This window comes from Homo sapiens, chromosome 5 (genome assembly GCF_000001405.40).
Source record: "Homo sapiens chromosome 5, GRCh38.p14 Primary Assembly".
NCBI classification, from domain to species: Eukaryota; Metazoa; Chordata; class Mammalia; order Primates; family Hominidae; genus Homo; species Homo sapiens.
In genome coordinates, this window is record NC_000005.10 from 100921885 (window position 1) to 100945730 (window position 23846).

At 36.4% G+C, this 23846-nt stretch overlaps 1 long non-coding RNA gene across 1 annotated transcript in view; it reads left to right on the plus strand.

Moving 5' to 3' along the window:
- The window catches only part of LOC107986437 (uncharacterized), a 41126-nt gene extending 18477 nt beyond the window's left edge, over positions 1-22649 (plus strand). The window contains exon 2 of the long non-coding RNA XR_001742825.3: positions 18082-22649. This is a non-coding gene — a long non-coding RNA (uncharacterized LOC107986437). The remainder of the gene's footprint in view (positions 1-18081) is intronic.
- Positions 22650-23846: the final 1197 nt, after the last annotated feature.

The window sequence follows — 23846 nt, forward strand, 5'->3', positions numbered from 1 at the left end:
TGGCTGGGACTTCTAGTACTATGTTGAAAAGAAGTGGTGAGAGTGGGCATCCCTGTCTTATTCCAGTTCTCAGAGGGAATGTTTTCACATTTTTCCCATTCAGCATTGTGTTGGCTGTGGGTTTGTCATAGATGGCTTTTATTAGATTGAGGTATGTCCCTTCTATGGTAATTTTGCTGAGGATTTTAATCATAAAGGGATGCTTGATTTTTTCAAATGCTTTTCTGCATCTATTGAGATGATCAGGTGATTTTTAATTCTGTATATGTGGTGTATCGCATTTATTGACTTCCATATGTTAAACCATCCCTGGTATGAAACCCACTTGATCTCAGTGGATTATCTTTTTGATATGTTTTTGGAGTCGGTTAGCTAGTATTTTGTTAAGAACTTTTGCATCTATATTCATCAGGGATACTGGTCTGTAGTTTTTTTTGTTTTGTTTTGTTTTGTTTTTTGGTTATGTCATTTCTTGGTTTTGGTCTTAGGGTGATACTAGCTTCATAGAATGATTTAGGGAGGATTATTTCTTTCTCTATCTTGTGGAATAGTATCAATAGGATTGGTACCAAGTCATCTTTGAATGCCCAGTAGAATTCAGCTGTGAATCCATCTGGTCCCCAAATTTTTTTTTTTGGTAATTTTTTTATTACCTTTTCAATCTCACTGCTTGTTATTGGTATGTTCAGGGTATCTAATTCTTCCTGATATAAGTTAGGAGGGTTGTATCTTTCCAGGAATTTATTCATCTCTTGTAGGTTTTCTAGTTTATGTGTGCAAATATGTTCACAGTAGCCTTGAATTATCTTTTGTATTTCTATGGTGTTAGTTTTAATATCTCCTGTTTCATTTCTAATTGATCTTATTTGGATTTTCTCTCTTTTTTCTTGGTTAATCTTGCTAATAGTCCATCATTTTTATTTATCTTTTCAAAGAACCAGCTTTTTGTTTCATTTATCTTTTGTATTTTTTCTTTGTTTCAATTTCATTTAGTTCTGCTCTGATGTTAGTTATTTCCTTTCTTCTGCTGGGTTTGGGTTTGGTTTGTTCTTGTTTCTCTACTTCCTTGGGGCATGACCTTAGATTGTCTATTTGTGCTCTTTCAGACTTTCTGATATAGGCATTTAGGACTATGAACTTTTCTCTTAGCACTGCTTTTGATGTATCCCAGAGTTTTTAATAGGTTGTGTCACTATTATCATTCAGTTTGAAGAATTTTTTAATTTTCATCTTGATTTTATTGTTGACCCAATGATCATTCAGGAGCAGGTTATTTAATGTCCATGTATTTTCATGGTTTTGAAGGTTTCTTTTGGAGTTGATTTCCGGTTTTATTTCACTGTGGTCTGAGAGAGTACTTGATATAACTTCAATTTTCTTAACTTATTCAACTTGTTTTGTGGCTTATCATATGGTCTATCTTGGAGAAAATTTCATGCACCGATGAAAAGAATCTATTTTCTGTGGTTGTTAGGTAGAATGTTCTATAAATATCTGTTAAGTCTATTTGTTCCAGAGTATACTTGAAGTTCATTGTTTCTTTGTTGACTTTCTGTCTTGATGACATGTCTAGTGCTGTAGGTGGAGTATTGAAGCCCCCCACTATTATTGTGTTGCTGTCTATCTCATTTCTTAGGTCTAGTAGTAAGTGTATCATACATTTGAGAGCTCCAGTGTTAGGCATGTATATTTAGGATTGTTAAATCTTCCTTTTGTACAAGACCTTTTATCATTATATAATGTCCCTCTTGTCTTTTTTAACTGCTGTTGTTTTAAAGTTTATTTTGTTTGATATAAGAATAGGTAGTCCTGCTTGCTTTTGGTGTCCATTTGCATGGAATATCTTTTTCCACCACTTTACCTTAAGTTTATGTGAGTTCTTATGTGTTAGGTGAGTCTCTTGAAGGAAGCAGATAGTTGATTTATGAATTATTTTCATTCTGCAATTCTGTATTTTTTAAGCAGAGCATTTAGGCCATTTACATTCAACATTATTATTAAGATGTGAGGTACTATTCCATTAATTGTGCTATTTATTGCCTGTATACCTTGTGGGGTTTTTTTTTGTATTTTTATTTTATAAGTCCTGTGAGATTTATGGCTTGAAAGAGATTCTGTTTTGATATGTTTTCAGGATTTGTTTCAAGATTTAGAGCTGCTTTTAGCAGTTCTTATAATGCTGTCTTGGTAGTGGCATATTCTCTCAGCATTTGTTTGTCTAAAAGAGACTGTATCTTTCCTTCATTTATAAAGATTAGTTTTGCTGGATACAGAATTCTTGGCTGATAATTGTTTGAGGAGACTGCAGATGGAGCTCCAATCCCTTTTAGGTCGTAGGGTTTCTGCTGATAAATCTACTGTTAATCTAATATGTTTTCCTTTATAGATTACCTGGTGCTTTTGCCTCACATCTCTTAAGATTCTTTCCTTCATCTTGACTTTAGATAACCTGATGACAATGTTCCTAGCTGATGATCTTTTTGTGATAAATTTCCCAGGTGTTCTTTGAGCTTCTTGTATTGGGATGTCTAGGTCTCTTGCAAGGCTGGGGAAGCTTTCCTCAGCTATTCCCCCAAATATGTTTTCCAAACACTTGGATTTCTCTTCTTCCTCAGCAACACCAGTTATTCTTGTTTGGTCACTTAACATAATCCCAAACTTCCTGGAGGCTTTGTTCATTTTTTTCTTATTCTTTTTTCTTTGTCTTTGGATTGGGTTACTTCAAAAACCTTGCCTTCAAGCTCTGAAGTTCTTTCTCCTGCTTGTTCAATTCTAATGCTGAGACTTTCTAGAACATTTTGCATTTCTCTAAGTGTGTCCTTTATTTCCTGAAGTTGTGATTGTTTTCTGTTTATGCTATCTATTTCACTGAAGATTTCTCCCCTCATTTCTTCTATCATTTTTTTTTCAATTTCCTTACATTGAACTTCATCTTTCTCTGGTACCTCCTTGATTAGCTTAATAACTAACCTGAATTCTTTTTCAGGTAAATCAGGGATTTCTTCTTGGTTTGGATCCATTGCTGGTGAGCTAGTGTGATTTTTGGGGGTGTTAAATAACCCTATTTTGTCATATTACCAGAATTGTGTTTCTGTTTCCTTCTTATTTGGGTAGGCTATTTCAGAAGGAAGGCTACTGTTCAGTTTCTTTTGTCCCACAAGGTGTTCCCTTGATGTAGTATGCTCCCCCTGTCCTAGGGATGTGGCTTCCAGAGAGCTAAGCTGTAGTGATTGTTATCTCTCTTCTGGATCTAGCCACCCAGCAGGTCTACCCGTTTCCAGTCTGGTCCTGGGGGATATCTGCACAGTGTCTTGTGATGTGAATGATCTGCAGGTATCTTAGCCATGAATATCAGCATTTGCTCTGGTGGAAGTAACAGGCAGGTGAAATGGACTCTGTGAAGGTCTTTAGTTTTGGTTGTTTAGTGCACTATTTTTTGTGCTAGTTGGCCTCTTGCCAGGAGGTAGGCTTTCAAGAGAGCATCAGCTGTAGTAGTGTCCAATCTTAATGTCTTTTAGACAACATGAAATAATGCAAAAATAGTACCAAGATTAGTCCAATACAACAGTATAAAATTTATAGGCACCATGAACAATGTACTTTATACAAAACAAAAAGCCTCCTGAATTCTAGAGTGGCAAGTTCTTTGAGCTGGTGTTATGACTTGAACATGTGCATCCCGCAAACTCATATGCTAAAATCCTAATTCCCCAATATGATGATATTAGGAAGTGGGGCCTTTGGAAGATCATAAGGGTGGAGCCCACATGAGTGGTATTAGCACCCTTATAAAAGAGACCCGTAGAGCTCACTAGTTCTTTCTATCATGTTAGAACACAGCAAGAAGATAGCTGTATATGAACCAGAAAGTAGACCTTCACCAGACATGGAATCTACTGGTGCCTTGATATTGAAATCCTCAGCCTCCAGAACTGGAGAAATAAATGTTTGTTGTTTAAGCTACCCAACCTATGATCTATGTTCTTTTGCTATAGCAATACAAACAGATCAAGATAGCTGGAAATTATTTTCATCTTCTTAGAGAACTATGAATGCATGGCTGGGGTTGGGGAAAGACTAGAAATAGGTCACAATATCCTATATTGTGAGGGGAAATGGCATTATCCTGGAGAAATATAAGTGTCCAACAAATATTTTAGTGTGCCAGAAATCTCCCTTTATGCTTAATTATGATCACCATGCTCTGTCATAAATGAAGTACTCCAGATATCCAGGAGAGATTGCCAGGGACAATGGCTTTTCGCTCGATCAGAACTCCAGCTTCAATTCTGTATTACTAATACTGTACTAAAAATCTTCAGGTTTTTCTAGATTTAAACAAGTCTGAGTCATCCTGTTGACCAATTAAGGCCTAGGCATTGGAATGAATTAAAATTAATCATTATATTAATATGTTAGCTGATAAAGATACTCTGATTTTCTGTAAGGATTATGCCTTATATTTGGTACAGGAAACAGACTGTGAGATGAAGACTTGAATGAAGAAAGTTGATTTACCAGTGCCTTTGATATTAATATCTGTGTTGGGGTGAAGGAAGGAAGTTTGGGCAGAGAAAATGTAAACTGTGATTCAGTCTTAACAAAAGCCTTAGCATATCCACAAGGAACTCTGAATCTGAGAAAGCCTTTCAGTGTTATCCAGCCTCGAAGCACAGGGATCAGGTCTTGATATCATTTTATTGATCAGTCATAGATTGGGTTTCTTCAGGGTACAAATATTACCCTGAGCAGGCAGCTCTCTTTGACTTAAGGCAATTCATGGAGAGGGATTCAGCAGGGAACCATTATCTGTTGACAGTTCTGAAGGAGATCTCTGGATTGTGCACCACAGCATCCACTATGGTTCACCCCTTGTGCTATCTTAGTCCACTTCCACCCTATGATAAATTTCACACATATTTTATGTGACGCTTATTAGTCTATAATTCAAGATAAACTTACAAAAAGAAGGGAAGTGGGATAAATTATCATCCCTGCTTCTGCAAGTGGTCTTAAGACTGAGGCTTTACCATGTAGATTTTCTATCATTATTACCTTTCAGGACCACTACTGATTAGGGTTGTAGTACAGCAGCTGATTAAGCTCAACTTCCATTAGTTGGACAAGATAAATTCCTATATTGTTATAAATGTAGGCAGATATAGAGGGACTGGTACACCAATGGTGGGTGTTACAAGGGTCTGGACCACTGCATATTCCTGATTTTAGATGTATCATTTCTATGTTACAATGTGTTTCTACTAGGCCTGCCTTGCTTATGACATGAAGGGTCTGACAGAACTCAGCTCATGATTTGCAGGGCAAATGGCCACTTAATTTCTTATGGTTAAGTATTTCTTCTATACCAGGGCCAAATAACATGCTAGAAACAGAGTTTTTTTTTTTAATGTTGCATAATTCTCCACTATGCCATAAATAACAAAGAATCATTACCCATTACCCAAACCTCTGTATAAGAATATGCCAGGTTGGTACAGCTTTTACTTTTTCTAGCTTTTCTCTATTGCAGAATACTTTTCTGGTCTGGACCTACTCAAAGATGGCAGGTATGCATGTCACTTTGTTAATAGCTTGTGGCAATATTCTTAAGTGTGGGAGATGCTACTTCTCTTTTTCTTTTCCACCACCCCCTCCTCTCTCTTTCCTTATCTCAATAGGCCCCATATATGAAAACTGGCTCAAGTTCAGAAACTGTCAAGAACCATGGAATTTTATTGGAGATGCTGCCCTCAGTCTACTGACCATCCATGCTTAATTTCTTTTGATTGTGCATATGGAGAAACTTTCATCAGCTCCCCACCTGAGGATGCTGCTATCTATTAACTACCTCCATAGCTCTCTGAGAGTCATGGCCTACAGGTGGCCATTGTGATTTTTCCACTAGTTATGGCAACTGGTTCCATCCTGTTTCTGATGATTAAATACTGCTTTTGGCCTCCACCTTTTCAAGATTCCATTACCTTTTGTGTCATCGAGGAACCCAGTTCTGTAACAGTATTTATTACTCATAAGTCCTCCCAGTAGAGGGCAGGTGACATTGAGTTTCTCCAGGATGATATTTCTCTCACTAGTACATCACATATTGCTTTGGCAAATGCGGCTCTTCTTCAGAATATGGTTAAATGGCGAATTTTCTGGCCTTACATAGTATATTCAGTAGGTTGGCCACTTTTGTAAAATTTTAAACTCTTCTTTGCCACGTCTGGCAGTCTTGGCATTTATACTTTACCTACTATAAACTACCACTTTCTCAAAACTTCTAATAACTCAATCAGTATGTTAACACTGTTTTCTGAGGTTTTCATCAAAGTGTCAAATCCTTTTGGGATAGTTTTCCTTTATCAATAAACTGGCCAGCCATTATCCATTCTCATGTTCTACCTTCTTTGATACAAGAGCCTCTGGATACAGACCAAATCACACTCTCCTAACTCCTTCCAGTATACAGTCATCCCTGGTATCCACAGGGGATTGGTTCCAGGACCTCCCCTGGATACCCAAATCTGTAGATGCTCAAGTCCCTTATGTAAAATGGCATAGCATTGGCATATAATCTATGGACATAATCCTGTATACTTTATATCATTTCTATATTACTTACAATACCTAACACAATGTAAAAGCTGTGTAGTTGTTATACTTTTTAAAAAAATTTCTACATTATTATTTTTTATTGTATTTTTGTCATATTTTCAATCTGCAGTTAGTTGAATCTGTGGGTGGGGAACCTGTGAATACAAAGGACTAATTGTATATTGACTAGGTCTTGCTGAACCCATTAGAAGTTTGTTGAGAGATGTCCTCAGGTCTTTTTGGGATATAGTCGCTTATCTTTCTTAACATGCCTAGCACTTTCCCAGCATGTAAGCTAAAAATGGAGTTGAGTTTAGATGCTGAGGAGTGTTCAAGACACTGGGTGAGGTGGAAATTACTGCATCATTTTCAGACAATGGGGGCATTCTAGTCTTTATTAGGAAGCAATGTGCATCTTCTTCAAGCCCAGAGTATTCAGGGGATTTGGGTTTAGTGATTTTTAATCCATCAACAAAAATATTTCCAACTCAAGGCTCAGGGTCCCAAGCTTTTCCAACCAGGAATCTATCATTGGCATTAACATAGCCTTTGTTGGCTATGAATTCGACCTCCTCTGGAAGGCTCTCTGCTGCTATTATAATTATAATACTATAATTGATTCTTGGACCTGATTCTCAGGTTTTTTCCTGCCCTCTATCTTTAGGAAATAAGAGTCCCTTTTTAACCTGCCAAGGAGGCCCTCTGAATTTTACAGTTGACTTTCATGGGTGATTAATCACCCACAACATTTTATTGGTCTTCTCTGATGTATCAATGTCACTCAGCTAAAACATCTAATTCAATTTCCTTCTAACACTCCCCTTAGCCAGTCAAAAGCCGAGACACTGAAATTTTGAGTGCATTAACTTATACCAGCATACCATCCCAATTTATCAAAGGTTAGAGTTTTAACAATTGCACTGCTATAATTACAGTACTCCATCTCCTCCCAATAATGATGCCGCCCTTACCAGCTGGCTGATAGAGGAACAGGCTTCAATATCTCATATTAAGATATGTTTACTTAGACTTGATGATGCCAATGTCTTAAGTCAGGATTCCCTGAAAAGAAATGAAGATGGATTTTGCATGTGGGAACTGTGTTGGGCAGTATCCTCGAAATCAACATTTTAAACATGTAAAGTCACTAGAATTTGGCAAAGGAAGAAGTTAAGCTTCAATGCAGTTACAAGGATGGCCTCAAATAGTTTCAGGAGAAGCGCTTGAGCCAAAAAGACCCTTCAGAGTCATCTTGCCTTGAGACAAAGGAGCCATGACTTTACACTTTTATACTGACAATGAATAGGTTTAAATGTTGGGAAGGGTCCTGACACGAGCACACGTTTCCAGCTAAAAGAAAGTTCTAAAGAGAGACTTAGCTGCTCACATTTTCAGAAGGTGGTGGAATGAGTTTCTCAGTCCTGCAGGAGGAGTCTGGGTGGCACGTCATATTATCCATTACAGAAAGTGATTGCAAATTACATTGTGTTACTCACTTCTTCTTGATTTCATGTTCATAAGTACTTTAGGCGCTTTTTCCCTCCCGGCTTCTACTATAACTTCTGGGAGTAGTAAGGATATTGATTCAGGTTTCCTTATGTTTATTTTCCTTTTTTTTTTTTTATTATACCTTAAGGTCTAGGTTACATGTGCACAACATGCAGGTTTGTTATATATGTATACATGTGCCATGTTGGTGTGCTGCACCCATTAACTCATCATTTACATTAGGTATATCTCCTAATGCTATCCCTCCCCAGTCCCCTCAACCCATGACAGGCCCCGGTGTGTGATGTTCCCCACCCAGTGTCCATGTGTTCTCATTGTTCAACTCCCATCTATGAGTGAGAACATGCGGTGTTTGGTTTTCTGTCCTTGTGATAATTTGCTGAGAATGATGGTTTCCAGCTTCATCCATGTCCCTGCAAAGGACATGAACTCATCCTTTTTTATGGTTGCATAGTATTCCATGGTGTATATGTGCCATATTTTCTTAATCCAGTCTATCATTGACGGACATTTGGGATGGTTCCAAGTCTTTGCTATTGTGAATAGTGCCGCAGTAAACATACGTGTGCATGTGTCTCTACAGCAGCATGATTTATAATCCTTTCGGTATATACCCAGTAATGGGATGGCTGGGTCAAATGGTATTTCTAGTTTTAGATCCTTGAGGAATCGCCACACTGTCTTCCACAATGGTTGAACTAGTTTACAGTCCCACCAACAGTGTAAAAGTGTTCCTATTTCTCCACATCCTTTCCAGCACCTGTTGTTTCCTGACTTTATAATGATCACCATTCTAACTGGTGTGAGATGGTATCTCATTGTGGTTTTGATTTGCATTTCCCTGATGGCCAGTGATGATGAGCATTTTTTCATGTGTGTGTTGGCTGCATAAATGTCTTCTTTTGAGAAGTGTCTGTTCATATCCTTCACCCATTTTGATGGGGTTGTTTGACTATTGTTGTAAATTTGTTTAAGTTCTTTATAGATTCTGGATATTAGCCCTTTGTCAGATGGGTAGATTGCAAAAATTTTCTCCCATTCTGTAGCTTGCCTGTTCACTCTGACAGTAGTTTCTTTTGCCGTGCAGACTCTCTTTAGTTTCAATTAGATCCCATTTCTCAATTTTGGCTTTGGTTGCCATTGCTTTTGCTGTTTTAGACATGAAGTCCTTGCCCATGCCTATGTCCTGAATGGTATTACCTAGGTTTTCTTCTAGGGTTTTTATGGTTTTAGGTCTGACACTTAAGACTTTAATCCATCTTGAATTAATTTTTGTATAAGGTGTAAGGAAGGGATCCAGTTTCAGCTTTCTACATATGGATAGCCAGTTTTCCCAGTACCATTTATTAAATAGGGAATCCTTTCCCCATTGCTTGTTTTTGTCAAGTTTGTCAAAGATCAGATGGTTGTAGATGTGTGGTATTATTTCTGAGGCCTCTGTTCTGTTCCATTGGTCTATATCTCTGTTTTGGTACCAGTACCATGCTGTTTTGGTTACTGTAGCCTTGTAGTATAGTTTGAAGTCAGGTAGCGTGATGCCTCCAGCTTTGTTCTTTTGGATTAGGATTGACTTGGCAGTGTGGGCTCTTTTTTGGTTCCATATGAACTTTAAAGTAGTTTTTTCCAATTCTGTGGAGAAAGTCATTGGTAGCTTGATGGGGATGGTATTGAATCTACAAATTACCTTGAGCAGTGTGGCCATTTTCATGATATTGATTCTTCCTATCCATGAGCATGGAATGTTCTTCCATTTTTTTGTGTCCTCTTTTATTTCGTTGAGCAGTGGTTTGTAATTCTCATTGAAGAGGTCCTTCACAACCCTTGTAAGTTGTATTCCCAGGTATTTTATTCTCTTTGAAGCAATTGTGAATGGGAGTTCATGCATGATTTGGCTCTCTGTGTGTCTGTTATTGGTGTATAGGAATGCTTGTGATTTTTGCACATTGATTTTGTATTCTGAGACTTTGCTGAAGCTGCTTATCAGCTTAAGGAGATTTTGGGCTGAGACAATGGGGTTTTCTAAATATACAATCATGTCATCTGCAAACAGGGACAGTTTGACTTCCTCTTTTCCTAATTGAATACCCTTTATTTCTTTCTCCTGCCTGATTGCCTTGGCCAGAACTCCTAACACTATGTTCAACAGGAGTGGTTAGAGAGGGCATCTCTGTCTTGTGCCAGTTTTCAAAGGGAATGCTTCTAGTTTTTGCCCATTCAGTATGATATTGGCTGTGGGTTTGTCATAAATAGCTCTTATTATTTTCAGATACGTCCCATCAATACCTAATTTATTGAGAGTTTTTAGCATGAAGGGCTGTTGAAATTTGTCGAAGGCCTTTTCTGCATCTATTGAGATAATCATGTGGTTTTTGTCTTTTGTTCTGTTTATATGATGGATTAGTTTATTGATTTGCATATGTTGAACCAGCCTTACATCCCAGGGATGAAGCCCCCTTCATCATAGTGGATAAGCTTTTTGATATGCTGCTGGATTTGGTTTGCCAATATTTTATTGAGGATATTTGCATCAATATTCATCAGGGATATTGGTCTAAAATTCTCTTTTTTTGTTGTGTCTCTGCCAGGCTTTGGTATCAGGATGATGCTGGCCTCATAAAATGAGTTAGGGAGGATTCCCTCTTTTTCTATTAATTGGAATAGTTACAGAAGAAATGGTACCAGCTCCTCTTTGTACCTGTGGTAGAATTCGGCTGTGAATCCATCTGGTCCTGGACTTTTTTTGGTTGGTAGGCTATTAATTATTGCCTCAATTTTAGAGCCTGTTATTGGTCTATTCAGGGATTCAATTTCTTCCTGGCTTAGTCTTGGGAGGGTGCATGTGTCCAGGAATTTATCCATTTCTTCTAGATTTTCTAGTTTATTTGCATAGATGTGTTTATAGTATTCTCTGATGGTAGTTTGTATATCTATGGGAACAGTGGTGATATCCCCTTTATCATTTTTTATTGTGTCTATTTGATTCCTCTCTCTCTTCATCTTTATTAGTCTTCCTAGCGGTCTATCAATTCTGTTGATCTTTTCAAAAAACCTGCTCCCAGTTTCATTGATTTGTTGAAGGGTTTTTTGTGTTTCTATCTCCTTCAGTTCTGCTCTGATCTTAGTTATTTCTTGCCTTCTGCTAGCTTTTGACTGTGTTTGCTCTTGCTTCTCTAGTTCTTTTAATTGTGATGTTAGGGTGTCAACTTTAGATTTTTCCTGCTTTCTCTTGTGGGCATTTAGTCCTATAAATTTCCCTCTACACACTGCTTTAAATGCGTCCCAGAGATTCTGGTATGTTGTGTCTTTTTTTGTTCTCATTGGTTTCAAAGAACATCTGAATCTCTGACTTCATTTCTTTATGTACCCAGTAGTCATTCAGGAGCAGGTTGTTCAGTTTCCATGTAGTTGAGCAGTTTTGAGTGAGTTTCTTAATCCTGAGTTCTAGTTTGATTGCACTGTGGTCTGAGAGAGTTTCTTATAATTTCTGTTCTTTTACATTTGCTGAAGAGTACTTTCCTTTCAACTATATGGTCAATTTTGGAATAAGTGTGATGTGGTGCTGAGAAGAATGTATATTCTGTTGATTTGGGGTGGAGCGTTCTGTAGATGTCTATTAGGTCAGCTTGGTGCAGAGCTGAGTTCAATTCCTGGATATCCTTGTTAACTTTCTGTCTCGTTGATCTGTCTTATGTTGACAGTTGGGTGTTAAAGTCTCCCATTATTATTGTGTGGGAGTCTAAGTCTCTTTGTAGGTCTCTAAGGACTTGCTTTATGAATCTGGGTGCTCCTGTATTGGATGCATATATATTTAGGATACTTAGCTCTTCTTGTTGAATTGATCCCTTTACCATTATGTAATGGTCTTGTCTCTTTTGATCTTTGTTGGTTTAAAGTCCGTTTTATCAGAGACTAAGATCGCAACCCCTGCTTTTTTTTGTTTTCCATTTGCTTGGTAGATCTTCCTCCATCCCTTTATTTTGAGCCTATGTGTGTCTCTGCACGTGAGATGGGTCTCCTGAATACAGCACACTGATGGGTCTTGACTCTTTATCCAATTTGCCAGTCTGTGTCTTTTAATTGGAGCATTTAGCCCATTTACATTTAAGGTTAATATTGTGATGTATGAATTTGATCCTGTCATTATGATGTTAGCTGGTTATTTTGCTTGTTAGTTGATGCAGTTTCTTCCTAGCCTCGATGGTCTTTACAATTTGGCATGTTTTTGCAGTGGCTGGTACTGGTTGTTCCTTTCCATGTTTAGTGCTTCCTTCAGGAGCTCTACTGAGGCAGGCCTGATGGTGACAAAATCTCTCAGCATGTGCTTGTCTGTAAAGGATTTTATTTCTCCTTCACTTATGAAGCTTAGTTTGGCTGGATATGAAATTCTAGGTTGAAAATTATTTTCTTTAAGAATGTTGAATATTGGCCCCCACTCTCTTCTGGTTTGTAGAGTATCTGCTGAGAGATCAGCTGTTAGTCTGATGGATTTCCCTTTGTGGTAACCTGACCTTTATCTCTGGCTGCCCTTAACATTTTTTCCTTCATTTCAACTTCGGTGAATCTGACAATTATGTGTCTTAGAGTTGCTCTTCTCGAGGAGTATCTTTGTGGCGTTCTCTGTATTTCCTGAATTTGAATGTTGGTCTGCCTTGCTAGATTGGGGAAGTTCTCCTGGATAATATCCTGAAGAGTGTTTTCCAACTTGGTTACATTCTCCCCGTAACTTTCAGGTACACCAATCAGACGTAAATTTGGTCTTTTCACATAGTCTCATATTTCTTGGAGGCTTTGTTCATTTCTTTTTACTCTTTCTTCTCTGAACTTCACTTCTCCCTTCATTTCATTGGTTTGATCTTCAATCACTGATACCCTTTCTTCCAGAATTGGCTACTGAAGGTTGTGCATGCATCACATAGTTCTTGTGCCATAGTTTTCAGCTCCTTCAGGTCATTTAAGGTCTTCTCTATGCTGCTTATTCTAGTTAGCCATTTGTCCAATTTTTTTTCAAGGTTTTTAGCTTCTTTGCCATGGGTTCAAACATCCTCCTTTAGCTCGGAGAAATTTGTTATTACTGATCATCTGAAGACTTCTTCTTTCAACTCATCAGAGTCATTCTCTGTCCAGCTTTGCTCTGTTGCTGGCAAGGAGCTGTGTTCCTTTGGAGGAGAAGAGGCGCTCTGATTTTTAGAATTTTCAGCTTTTCTGCTCTGGTTTCTCCCAATCTTTGTGGTTTTATCTACCTTTGGTCTTTGATGATGGTGACGTACAGATGGGGTTTTGGTGTGGATGTCCTTTCTGTTTGTTAGTTTTCCTTCTAACTGTCAGGTCCCTCAGCTATAGGTCTTTTGGAGTTTGCTGGAGGTTCACTCCAGACCCTGTTTGCCTGGGTATTCCCAGTGGAGGCTGTAGAACTACAAATATTGCAGAACGGCAAATGTTGCTCCCTTATCTTTCCTTTGGAAGCTTAGTCTCAGAGGGACACCTGGCTGTATGAGGTGTCAGTTGGCCCCACTGGGAGGTGCCTCCCAGTTAGGCTACTCGGGGATCAGGGACCCACTTGAGGAGGCGGTCTGTCCTTTCTCAGATCTCAAACTCCATGCTGGGAGAACCACTACTTTCTTCAAAGCTGCCAGACGGGGACGTTTAAGTCTGCAGAAGTTTCTGCTGCCTTTTGTTCAGCTATGCCCTGCCCCCAGAGGTGGAGTCTACAGAGGCAGGCAGGCCTCTTTGAGCAGTGGTGGGCTCCACCCAGTTCGAGCTTCTTGGCTGCTTTGTTTACCTATTCAAGCCTCAGCAATGTTGGGTGCCCCTCCCCCAGCCTCGCTGCAGCCTTGCAGTTCGATCTCAGACTGCTGTGCTAGCAGTGAGGAAGGCTCCGTGGCCATGGGACCCTCTGAGCCAGGCTCAGGATATAATCTCCTGGTGTGCTGTTTGCTAAGACTGTTGGAAAAGTGCTGTATTAGGGTGGGAGTGACCCAATTTTCCAGGTGTCATCTGTCATGGCTTCCTTTGGCTAGGAAAGGGAATTCCCTGACCCCTTGCACTTCCTGGGTGAGGTGTTGCCTCGCCCTGCTTTGCTTATGGTCTGTGGGCTGCACCCACTGTCCTGCACCCACTGTCCGACAAGCCCCATTGAGATGAACCTGGTACCTCAGTTGGAAATGCAGAAATCACCAGTCTTCTGCCTCACTCATGCTGGGAGCTGTAAACTGTAGCTGTTCCTATTTGGCCATCTTGGAACTTCCCCTCCTTATGTTTATTTTCTACTGTTAATGTTGACACATATGATGGCTATTTTAAGTGATACATGTTATAGTTTTGCTATTTAATATATATTTGGGAATTAGAATACTTATTTTTTTCATGAAACCCAGGATTTTATAGCAAAAAGACAGCTCATTCCTGACACATTTTCCAAAAGCTAACTTCAGCAAAAGGAAGATGTCCATTCCTTCCTAATAAAGGCAAGAATGTCCCCAATATCTCTGTAGACTAGTAAAATAGAGCTGTTTAAGAAATTCTAGGAGGCCTAAAGGAAAATAAAAAGAAGTAAAGAAAACAATAAATGCCACCTTCAGTTTTAAGTAAATTTTGTTCATCTTGCTGTTTGAAGCAGCCATTGTTAATTTTGGAAATCTTTTACAATATTTACTTTTGGATCACTTTTAATGCCACTGAGATTTACTATCTAAATGAAACAATCAAAATAAGAAACAGTCATGTAAGTGGCAAACACCTCTGCTCTACTATCTCATTGCAGTGGGATAATAAAGCTTAGGTCCATTGATCCAGGAACGACTGTGTAAGAGCATCACATGGCTCATAGCACAGAATCCCAACTAAGATATGCAGAGAATTATACTCTAACATAATATTTAAAAGCCCTGTAGTAAGTTAATATATAACATTATGGTTTGAAGAAAGAGTATTTTTGTGAGAGATTTCACATTCAAACATATTGAATACTCAATGTGGCATGTATTTGGATGGGCAATGAAAAATTTATACAACTGTTCATGAATAATCACACGGTTGCACTTAATGTTCAGTAACACTTACCTGAATGTTTTCATATTGCTGAGATACATTCATATACAAAGCCTGAAAGCACACATTTGAATGTATGATTGATGAAAATAGATCTACTTAATATTGTTCTAGCCTCATCTACTCTCTCTAATGTTTATATAGTTCTTGGTATTGTTTTCAAATAAAATAACAAAATGCAATATGAGAGCTTGAAAAATATTTTACTAGTTATCCCAAAAGAATTAAGAAATAATACAAATGAATTAGAAGTCATTTTAGTATTTTTCATAGTTTAAAGAAATATAATGAGAGACATTTTCCAAAGAGGTGTTTTAGAAGCTTGTGAAAATGGATGTGGCTTAATTACCTTTCAGTACCTGGAGTGTGCTGGTTATGTGCCATGTTTGACACAAAAGAGCAGGATTCTACTTCTTTGTTCCCCCAGTTTTACTCAGTGTGGTTGCATAGCTGAACCAAAATATTCATCATCACCGAATAAAGCATTTAGCTTTGAGGGTGGTGGGTTAGAATCAAGGAAGCATAGGAATTTTACACGTTCTAAGTATCCTGAGGGAAGAGATAGAAATAAAACAAGGTGGCTGGGAAGAATTCCTTACAAATCACTCAAGAACATGCTAATTCATTTCTTTCAGCTTTATTCAGGTACAATTGACAAGTAGAAGTTGTATGTATTTAAGGAGTATAACTTGATGTTTTGATACATGTGTTATATTATAAAATAATCACCACAATCAAGCTAATTAACATATGTGTCACCTCACACATTTAAATTTATTTTTATTTTTGATGAAAACACTTAAGATCTATCATCTTAGCAAAGTTTAAGTATGTAAGTCATTATTGTTAATGGATGTACAGGAGATCTTCAGAACATATTATTTTGCATAACTAAAACTTTGTAAGCTTTAACATCTCTCCATTTTTTTCTCGCTCAGCTCTGACAACCACCATTCTAACTCTCTGCTTCTGAGTTTGACTATTTTAGATTCCACATATAAGTCAGATCACACAGTATTTGTCCTTTTGTGTCTGGCTTACTTTATTTAGTGTAATGTCCTCCAGTTCAATCATCTTGTCATAAATATCAGGACTATCTTATTTTTTAAAGCTGAATAATATTCCACTGTGTTTACATACCTACCAACCTACCCACCTATCTACATATCTTGGGTTTTCTTGTCCATTCATCTATCAGTGGACATTTAGATTGTTTCTATATCACGGCAATGGTGAATAATGCTGCAATATAAACATGAGAGTGCAAATATTTGTTTGACATAGTTATATCATTATCTTCAGATATACACCAGAAACGGGATTGCTGGATATTATATGATAGCTGTATCTTTAACTTTTTGATGAATTTCTAGACTGTTTTCTATAATGAGTGTATCAATTTACATTCCCACCAGCAGGGTACAAGTGTTACCTTTCCACCAGATTCTTGTCAGTATGTGTTGCCTTTTGTCTTTTTGATAATTGCCATTTTAACTGGGGTGAGGTGATATCTAATTGTGATTTTTACTTGGATTTTTCCAATCATTAGTGATATTGAACACCTTTTCCTACAGCTTTGGGTTCTTTGTATGACTTCTTTTGAAAAATGTCTATTCAGGTTCTTTGTCCTATCTTGACTTCAAAACACTACAAAACTATAGTAGCCAAAACAGCATGGTACTAGCATAAAAACAGATATATAAACCAAAGGAACAAAATAGAGGGCCCAGAAATTTATGCATGTATGGTCAACTGATCTTTGACAGGGTGCCAAGAACATATGATGGGGAAAGGATGGTATCTTCAATAAATTGTACTGGGAAAACTAGTATCTACACATAGAAGAATGATTTTGAACCCTTTCACCATATACAAAAATCAACTGAAAATCTATTCAAGTCTTAGACATAAGGCCTGAAACCATAAAACTACTTGAAGAAACTACAGGAAAAAGCTCCTTGATATTGGTTTGGGCAATAAGTTTTTTTGGATATGATACTAAACACACAACAACAAAAGCAAAAATAGACAAATTTAGAAAAAATAGTAGAACTTCATTAAACTGCAAAGCTTCTGCACAGCAAATAATCAATCGTGTGAAAAGAGAATCCACAGAATGAGAGGAAATATTTGTGAACCATATATCTGATAAGAGGTTAGTATGCAAAATATGTAAGAAATTTATGCAATTCAATAGCAAATAAGCAAGGAAAAAAGGAACCCACTTAAGAAAAGGAACACGCTCATTTTTTGACTCTTACTTTAAGACTGATAAAAGATCTGCAGAAAAAAAGCCACATATAAAAATATATATATATAAAAATACATAAATAAATCTGATTTCTGTATGTTGGTAGGTAAAAAAAGAACTCCCTTTAATAAAGTTTAATTATTTAATTATTACTGTGTATAATATTTCTTTCTCTTTGAGAATATTCACACCAGAGGGTATGGTTGAAAAAATTTATTTCTTGTGTTACTAAAACTGCTAACTAATTATCACATTAATTGTATGGGTTTCACGTATTATTCTTTGAAGTATCTGAAGTCATTAGTGCTCATGAGTCTTAACAGCTCTCTTTATGTAAGGCCTTTGGGGTAACAGTAGACACTCTAGAAATTTAATAATAGATTACAAAAAATATACTACTGTTTGCCATTATCTCAATTTCCTGAGTGTTCCCCATTCTAATGCATTTTCTTTAATCTCCTCTTTCCCCTCCTCATGAAACTACCTCTACATTATGTTCTATAAAATTGGCATTTCTTTGTTAGTTTATTGGTTGTATCAATTGCAAATTGTCTCTCTTCCTGTTGGCATTTTAATAAGGCCTAAGGAAAGAGCATAAATGCTATTGTGATGGTTAATTTTAAGTGTCAACCTGTAGGGTATTTTTGGATGAGATTAATGTTTAAATTGGTTAATTTTAGGTAAAGCAGATTATTATCCACAATGTTGGTGAGCCTCATCCAAATTGTTGAATACCTGAATGGAACAAAATTTCCAACCTCTGTGAGCATGAAGAAATTTTCTAGCAGACTGCCTTTCAACTTCACCTGCACCATCAGCTTTCCAGAGTCTCCATCCTGTCAGCATTTGGACTGGAACAATGCCATTGGCTGTCCTACGCCTCAAACCTCCTGGCCCGTGCTGCAAGATTCTAACTCACTAGCCTTTGTAATCATGTGAGCCAATTCCTTAAGAGATAAGAATCTCTTTCGAGATATTAAACAAGACATTCAATTGGTTCTTTTACTCTGGAGAACCTAATACAGCTGTCATGAAAAACTTGGATATTCAAATTAGATAAAAGTATATTTCAGAAATGTACCAGGATCACATTGTTAGCTTGTCTCTATGGCTTTATCCTAAGTCCTTAAGTATTCTCTGCTTAGACAGCAGGGTTTGCTTAGTGGAGAGATTGTATCTCTAACTGTATTGCCAGGACAGGTTTTTGACTACATACCACCTATCTTTCTCAAGAAAGTGATAATAAAAGCAATTTTTTTCATATTTGAAATCCTAGAGTACAACAATAGCAAATGGAAAATGAAGAAAGAGGGAATTAAAAATGAGTAAAAGTATTAACATTACTTGTTTTAGGAAAAAGTAACAATAAGTAGATAAACAATGGCTAGATAAGGAAAAATTTTTAAAGTCACTGTTAAAACTTGAATTTTCTTCTAAAATTCTCCTGCTGAACACCTTTCTAGATGGGTAAAAGAGTGAGAATATTAAATAAAATTCTAAACTTTTAAAAATATAACTGGTTTTAATTATCTGACAGGTAACATACAAAATTTATATGTAAGGACATTTTTAACTATAGCAGTTGTTCCCAACATATACTTCAAAAGTAGTGTTCGGCCGTCCTAAAACACTAGAAAACTTCTACAGGCCTTTGACCTCTTGTAGATTATGTGGAAAACAGTAATCTATCTATTCTGTATTTTTTTTCAGAAGTATCCAAATTTTTTCCTCAGGGAAAAAAAATACAGGTAATAAGTTTCTTGATAAAATGTTTCTCTTAAAAACTGCATAGATTACTTCTACTTTCAGGTAAGGTCTTACTTCTCTCCATAAATAATTGAAAACTTAGATAAAACATGTTTTTAGATACTAGACAACAGTAAATACTGTGAGCTAAAGAAATAAAATAGGTAACTACCTACAATCATTCTGACTTTCTGGCCTACAGGATATTTATAAATCTTGGGGCAGGGAGAGCCAACCCACTAGCTCCCAAGAGCTGTAGCTAACATTTTATTTATTATTTTTTGATTTGAGGAGATGGTGTTTGTAGCATAAATCTGAGATTGCTAGAATATTTTGGGACGGATCACCAATGAAGAAAGAGTTACTCAGAGAAACAGCTCCAGAAATCTACATAACGAATCAACGAAGTCTTTAGTTGAATGCCAATCTGCATGTTAAGGTGAAACTCCCTGAGGATAGGCAAAGAAAATTTCTGAGGAAAGAATAATTTCCAGGTACATATAAGTCAAAACAATTTCCACAGGACAAACAGTGTCATGACTCCTTCCAAGTGCTAGCAAACAAAGTGAAGTAACATCATTGAATACATGGGCAGTAGTAGAGACGCAAGATAGGCCCATGCTCTAGTAATTGGGCTAAACTAGTCCCATAAAATAGATTATTCTGTACCAGGGATCAGCAAATTAAGGACCAATCTGAACCACTACTTTCCAGTAACTAAAATTTTATTGCAAAATGGCTTTTCACTTATTTACATATTATCTATAGAGACTTCAGTGTTACAACAATAGAGTGATAGAAATCAAACGGTCTGCAAAGCTTTAGATAAATACTGTGTGGCTCTTGACAGAAAAAAAATCCCTTGCTGATTCCTCCTCTAGACTTGCCCTAATCAAAGGACTTTCATGCAACTCAACAGCCTATCAGAACAAAATTCAACACTGATAAAAGTCTGACAACAAAATTCAGTAATCAAATATTTAACATTTTCAATGTCTGTCATCCAATCCAGAATTACCACACATACAAAGAAGGAGGATAAAATACCTCTATACCCAGGTAAAACAAATCAAAAAATAACATAGATGATGACAAAAGTAGAAAACATTTTTTAAAATAGGTATAATTATCATGTGCAGCATGTGCAAATATTTTTTAAAATGAACATAATGAGGAGAGTCATAGGGATATAAAAAAAGAACCAAAGGGAAATTCTAAAGATAAAATTATGATACCAAAAATTAAAATTATTCTGATTGGTAGATTAGGCCCTGAAATAGAAAGTCAGTGAAATTGAAAACATGGCAACAAAAATTAAAATATAAAATAAATATAAATAAATGCACAAAGGTAAAAAACAAGATATTAATGGCCTCAATATTAATATCAGAGACAATATCAATTGCAACAAAATACATGGGGTGGAATACTAAAAAGAAAGAGAAAGAGAAAAACAATGTGAAGCAATTCTTTTTTTTTTTTTTGAGACAGTCTCACTCCATCGCCTAGGCTGGAGTGCAGTGGCGTAATCTTGGCTCACTGCAACCTCTGCCTCCCGGGTTCAAGCAATTCTCCTGCCTCAGTCTCCCAAGTAGCTGGGATTACAGGCTACTACTACCATGCTCAGCTAATATTTTTTTTTTGTATTTTTAGTAGAGACAGGGTTTCGCCATGTTGGCTAGGGTGGTTTTGAACTCCTAACCTCAGGTGATCCACCCGCCTCGGGATTACAGGCGTGAGCCACCGTGCCCGGCCCATATTTTAAAAATATCTATATTTTATACCAAGTCATCAGACATTTGAGAACATATCCTATTGAAGTAAAACACAGTAAGGATGTATTTAAAGAATGAGTATTGAAGAAATACTCACAGAATTGAAAAATCAGAGAATGTTAAATAATTATAATATATTCATATTAAAAAATAATATTCAGTCTTAAAGCAAATAGTTAAAGCAACTAAACCAGTTGTAATAGGCAGATTTCCAAAAAACGGTTATGTAAGAAAACAAGATACAAACATTGTAATATCATTTCATGTTTTCAATATAAATTATTTAAAAATTTCATATATGTATATGTATGTTTACCAAACTATGTGAGTACTGAGAAAAATATGAAAGAATGCATGCTTGATTGTCATATCCCATGGGTGTGTAATGGGAGTAGTGAAGAAGATAAATGGGGTAGTATAAAAAATATAAAACCATAATACACTAAAATGTAATATGAATGTTATACTTTACATTTGTTTAAAATTACATATGTGATTTGTACAACTAAAGTGGTATAAAAATTAGAAGCAAAGTTAAATGAGAAGGAATTGATTAAATGTACATACATATACCCACAGAACGGTATCAATACATGGGTACACATACACACACATATATATATAATGTTTATGTTCACTAAATAATTATGTGTCACTTAACGATGGATATACATTCTGAGAAATGTGTTGTCAGGCAATTTTGTCCTTGTGCAAATATCATAGAGTGTATTTACACAAACCTAGTTCACACTTTGGCTATCTGGTATAGACTATTGCTTCCAGGCTACAAACCTGTACAACATGCTACTGTTCCAAATATTGTAGGCAATTGTAACTGGATGTTAAGTATTTGTGGATCTTAATGTATCTAAACATAGAAAAGGCACATACAAAAATACAGTATTATAATCTTATGAGACCATGGTCATCCATGTGGTCCATCATTGACTGAAGAATCGTTAGCATGTCATGACTGTACATATACAGCATTCATATATTTAAATACATGCATATATATTATATATATATGGGGCATACACATAAGTAATATATATTTTCATACACCTTGCAATTTTACTGCTTGGATTTATTTTCTTAGAAAACAAAATAAATAAGATAGTATAGATTTAAAAATCTATGGATAAAATAATTCAAAGCAATAGTACTTTTGTAGTGAATAACATAATATAGTATAAATGTACAAATACAGTGATGCATTACAGATATTTTGCGTATTTTACAGCATGCAAGTTATCTCTTTAAAAGAGCTTTAGAAATGAATTCAGTAAGTGAAAGAACAAAATATTTTTATATCAAATTATTTTGCCAAATTTATACGTTACTACCGCTAGTAACGTATGAGATCATTCATCTCACCATTGCAAACATTGTCATTATAATTCAAAAAATTGTATTTACTATTTGGTTGACTTAATTTACATTTTTAAGAATAGTATAAAATGGCTAAAGTGATGGCATTTTAATTATTTGATTCATCTTTTTTGGCTCCACTTAACAATTGAGGTTCTATTAATTATTTTATGGATTTATGTGGGCTTTTCTATCAAGCTACGTTCTGAAATAGTTGCTCATAATTTAGTACTGCTTTCTTTTTCTCTTAATTTTAGTTAAAGCTTCTGACATACAGTAGTTGTAAATTATATATTAAATCTATTGGTTTTTTCCATTATGATTTTTTTCCTTATTGTAATAAAGCTTAAAATGAATATCCTTCCTCTTGAACAAGTTTCCTATCTAGCTTGTATTAAATTAATCTCAGTGGAACTTAAGGATCCATAGCAAATGGAGGATTCCTGAAATCCAACTGAATATCAAGTATTTTCTGAAGACATCATAAGTAATAGTTTGTGTACTTTTAATTGTGTGAAATATTTTAAGCTTAATAAGCCATATATGTATTTAAAACTAATAAATTTATAGATAGCATATGCAACATTGAATTGATCTAACAGATACCAAAAGAAGTACACCTATAATGCAGGCAGTTGAAATTTATTTTGACACAGGAACTTCTTTATTTTTATTTTTTATTTTTTTGAGATTGAGTCTCACCCTGTCGCCCAGGTTGGAGTGCAGTGGCACCATCTCTGCTCACTGCAACCTCTGCCTCTCCGGTTCAGGTGATTCTCGTGGCTCAGCCTCCCAAGTAGCTGGGATTACAGGCGTGCACCACCATGCCCGGCTAATTTTTGTATTTTTAGTAGTTTTGAACTCCTGACCTGAGGTGATCTGCCCACCTCGGCCTCCCAAAGTGTTGGGATTACGGGCATAAGCCACGGCTCCCAGCCAAGGAACTTATTATACTAAGTGTGGAGAACCCTGCTATAGAAGTCTGTCAAATATTTACTGCCCCCACCCTTTTCTTAGTATTTCTGTAATTCAAATAACTTTTCATATTTCATATTTAGTTTTTCATATTTATTATTGTAATCTATTGGGAAGTTATTTTTACATAGAAAGTTGGTTAGGAATACGATTTATCTTGTCAGGTTTTATAGTTTTTCTAAAAGTTTACCTACGTGTTTTCTTTTTTCTTTTTTCTTTTTTTTTACTTTTTTTTCTTATTTTGAGATGGAGTCTCACACTTGTTGCCCAGGCTGCAGTGCAGTGGCGCGATCGTGGCTCACTGTAACCTCCACCTCCCGGTTTCAAGCGATTCTTCTGCCTCAGTCTCCCGAGTAGTTGGGATTATAGGTGCCAGCCACCACACCTGAATTTTTTGTATTTTTAATAGATACTGGGTTTCATCATGTTGACCAGGCTGGTCTGGAACTCCTGACCTCAGGTGTTCTGCCCGCCTCGGCCTCCCAAAGTGCTGAGATTACAGGCGTGTTTTCATAAGTTTCTTTTCTCTATAAATATCATATTGTATTACTAAAGTGGAGTCATTTTTGTTTCATTAT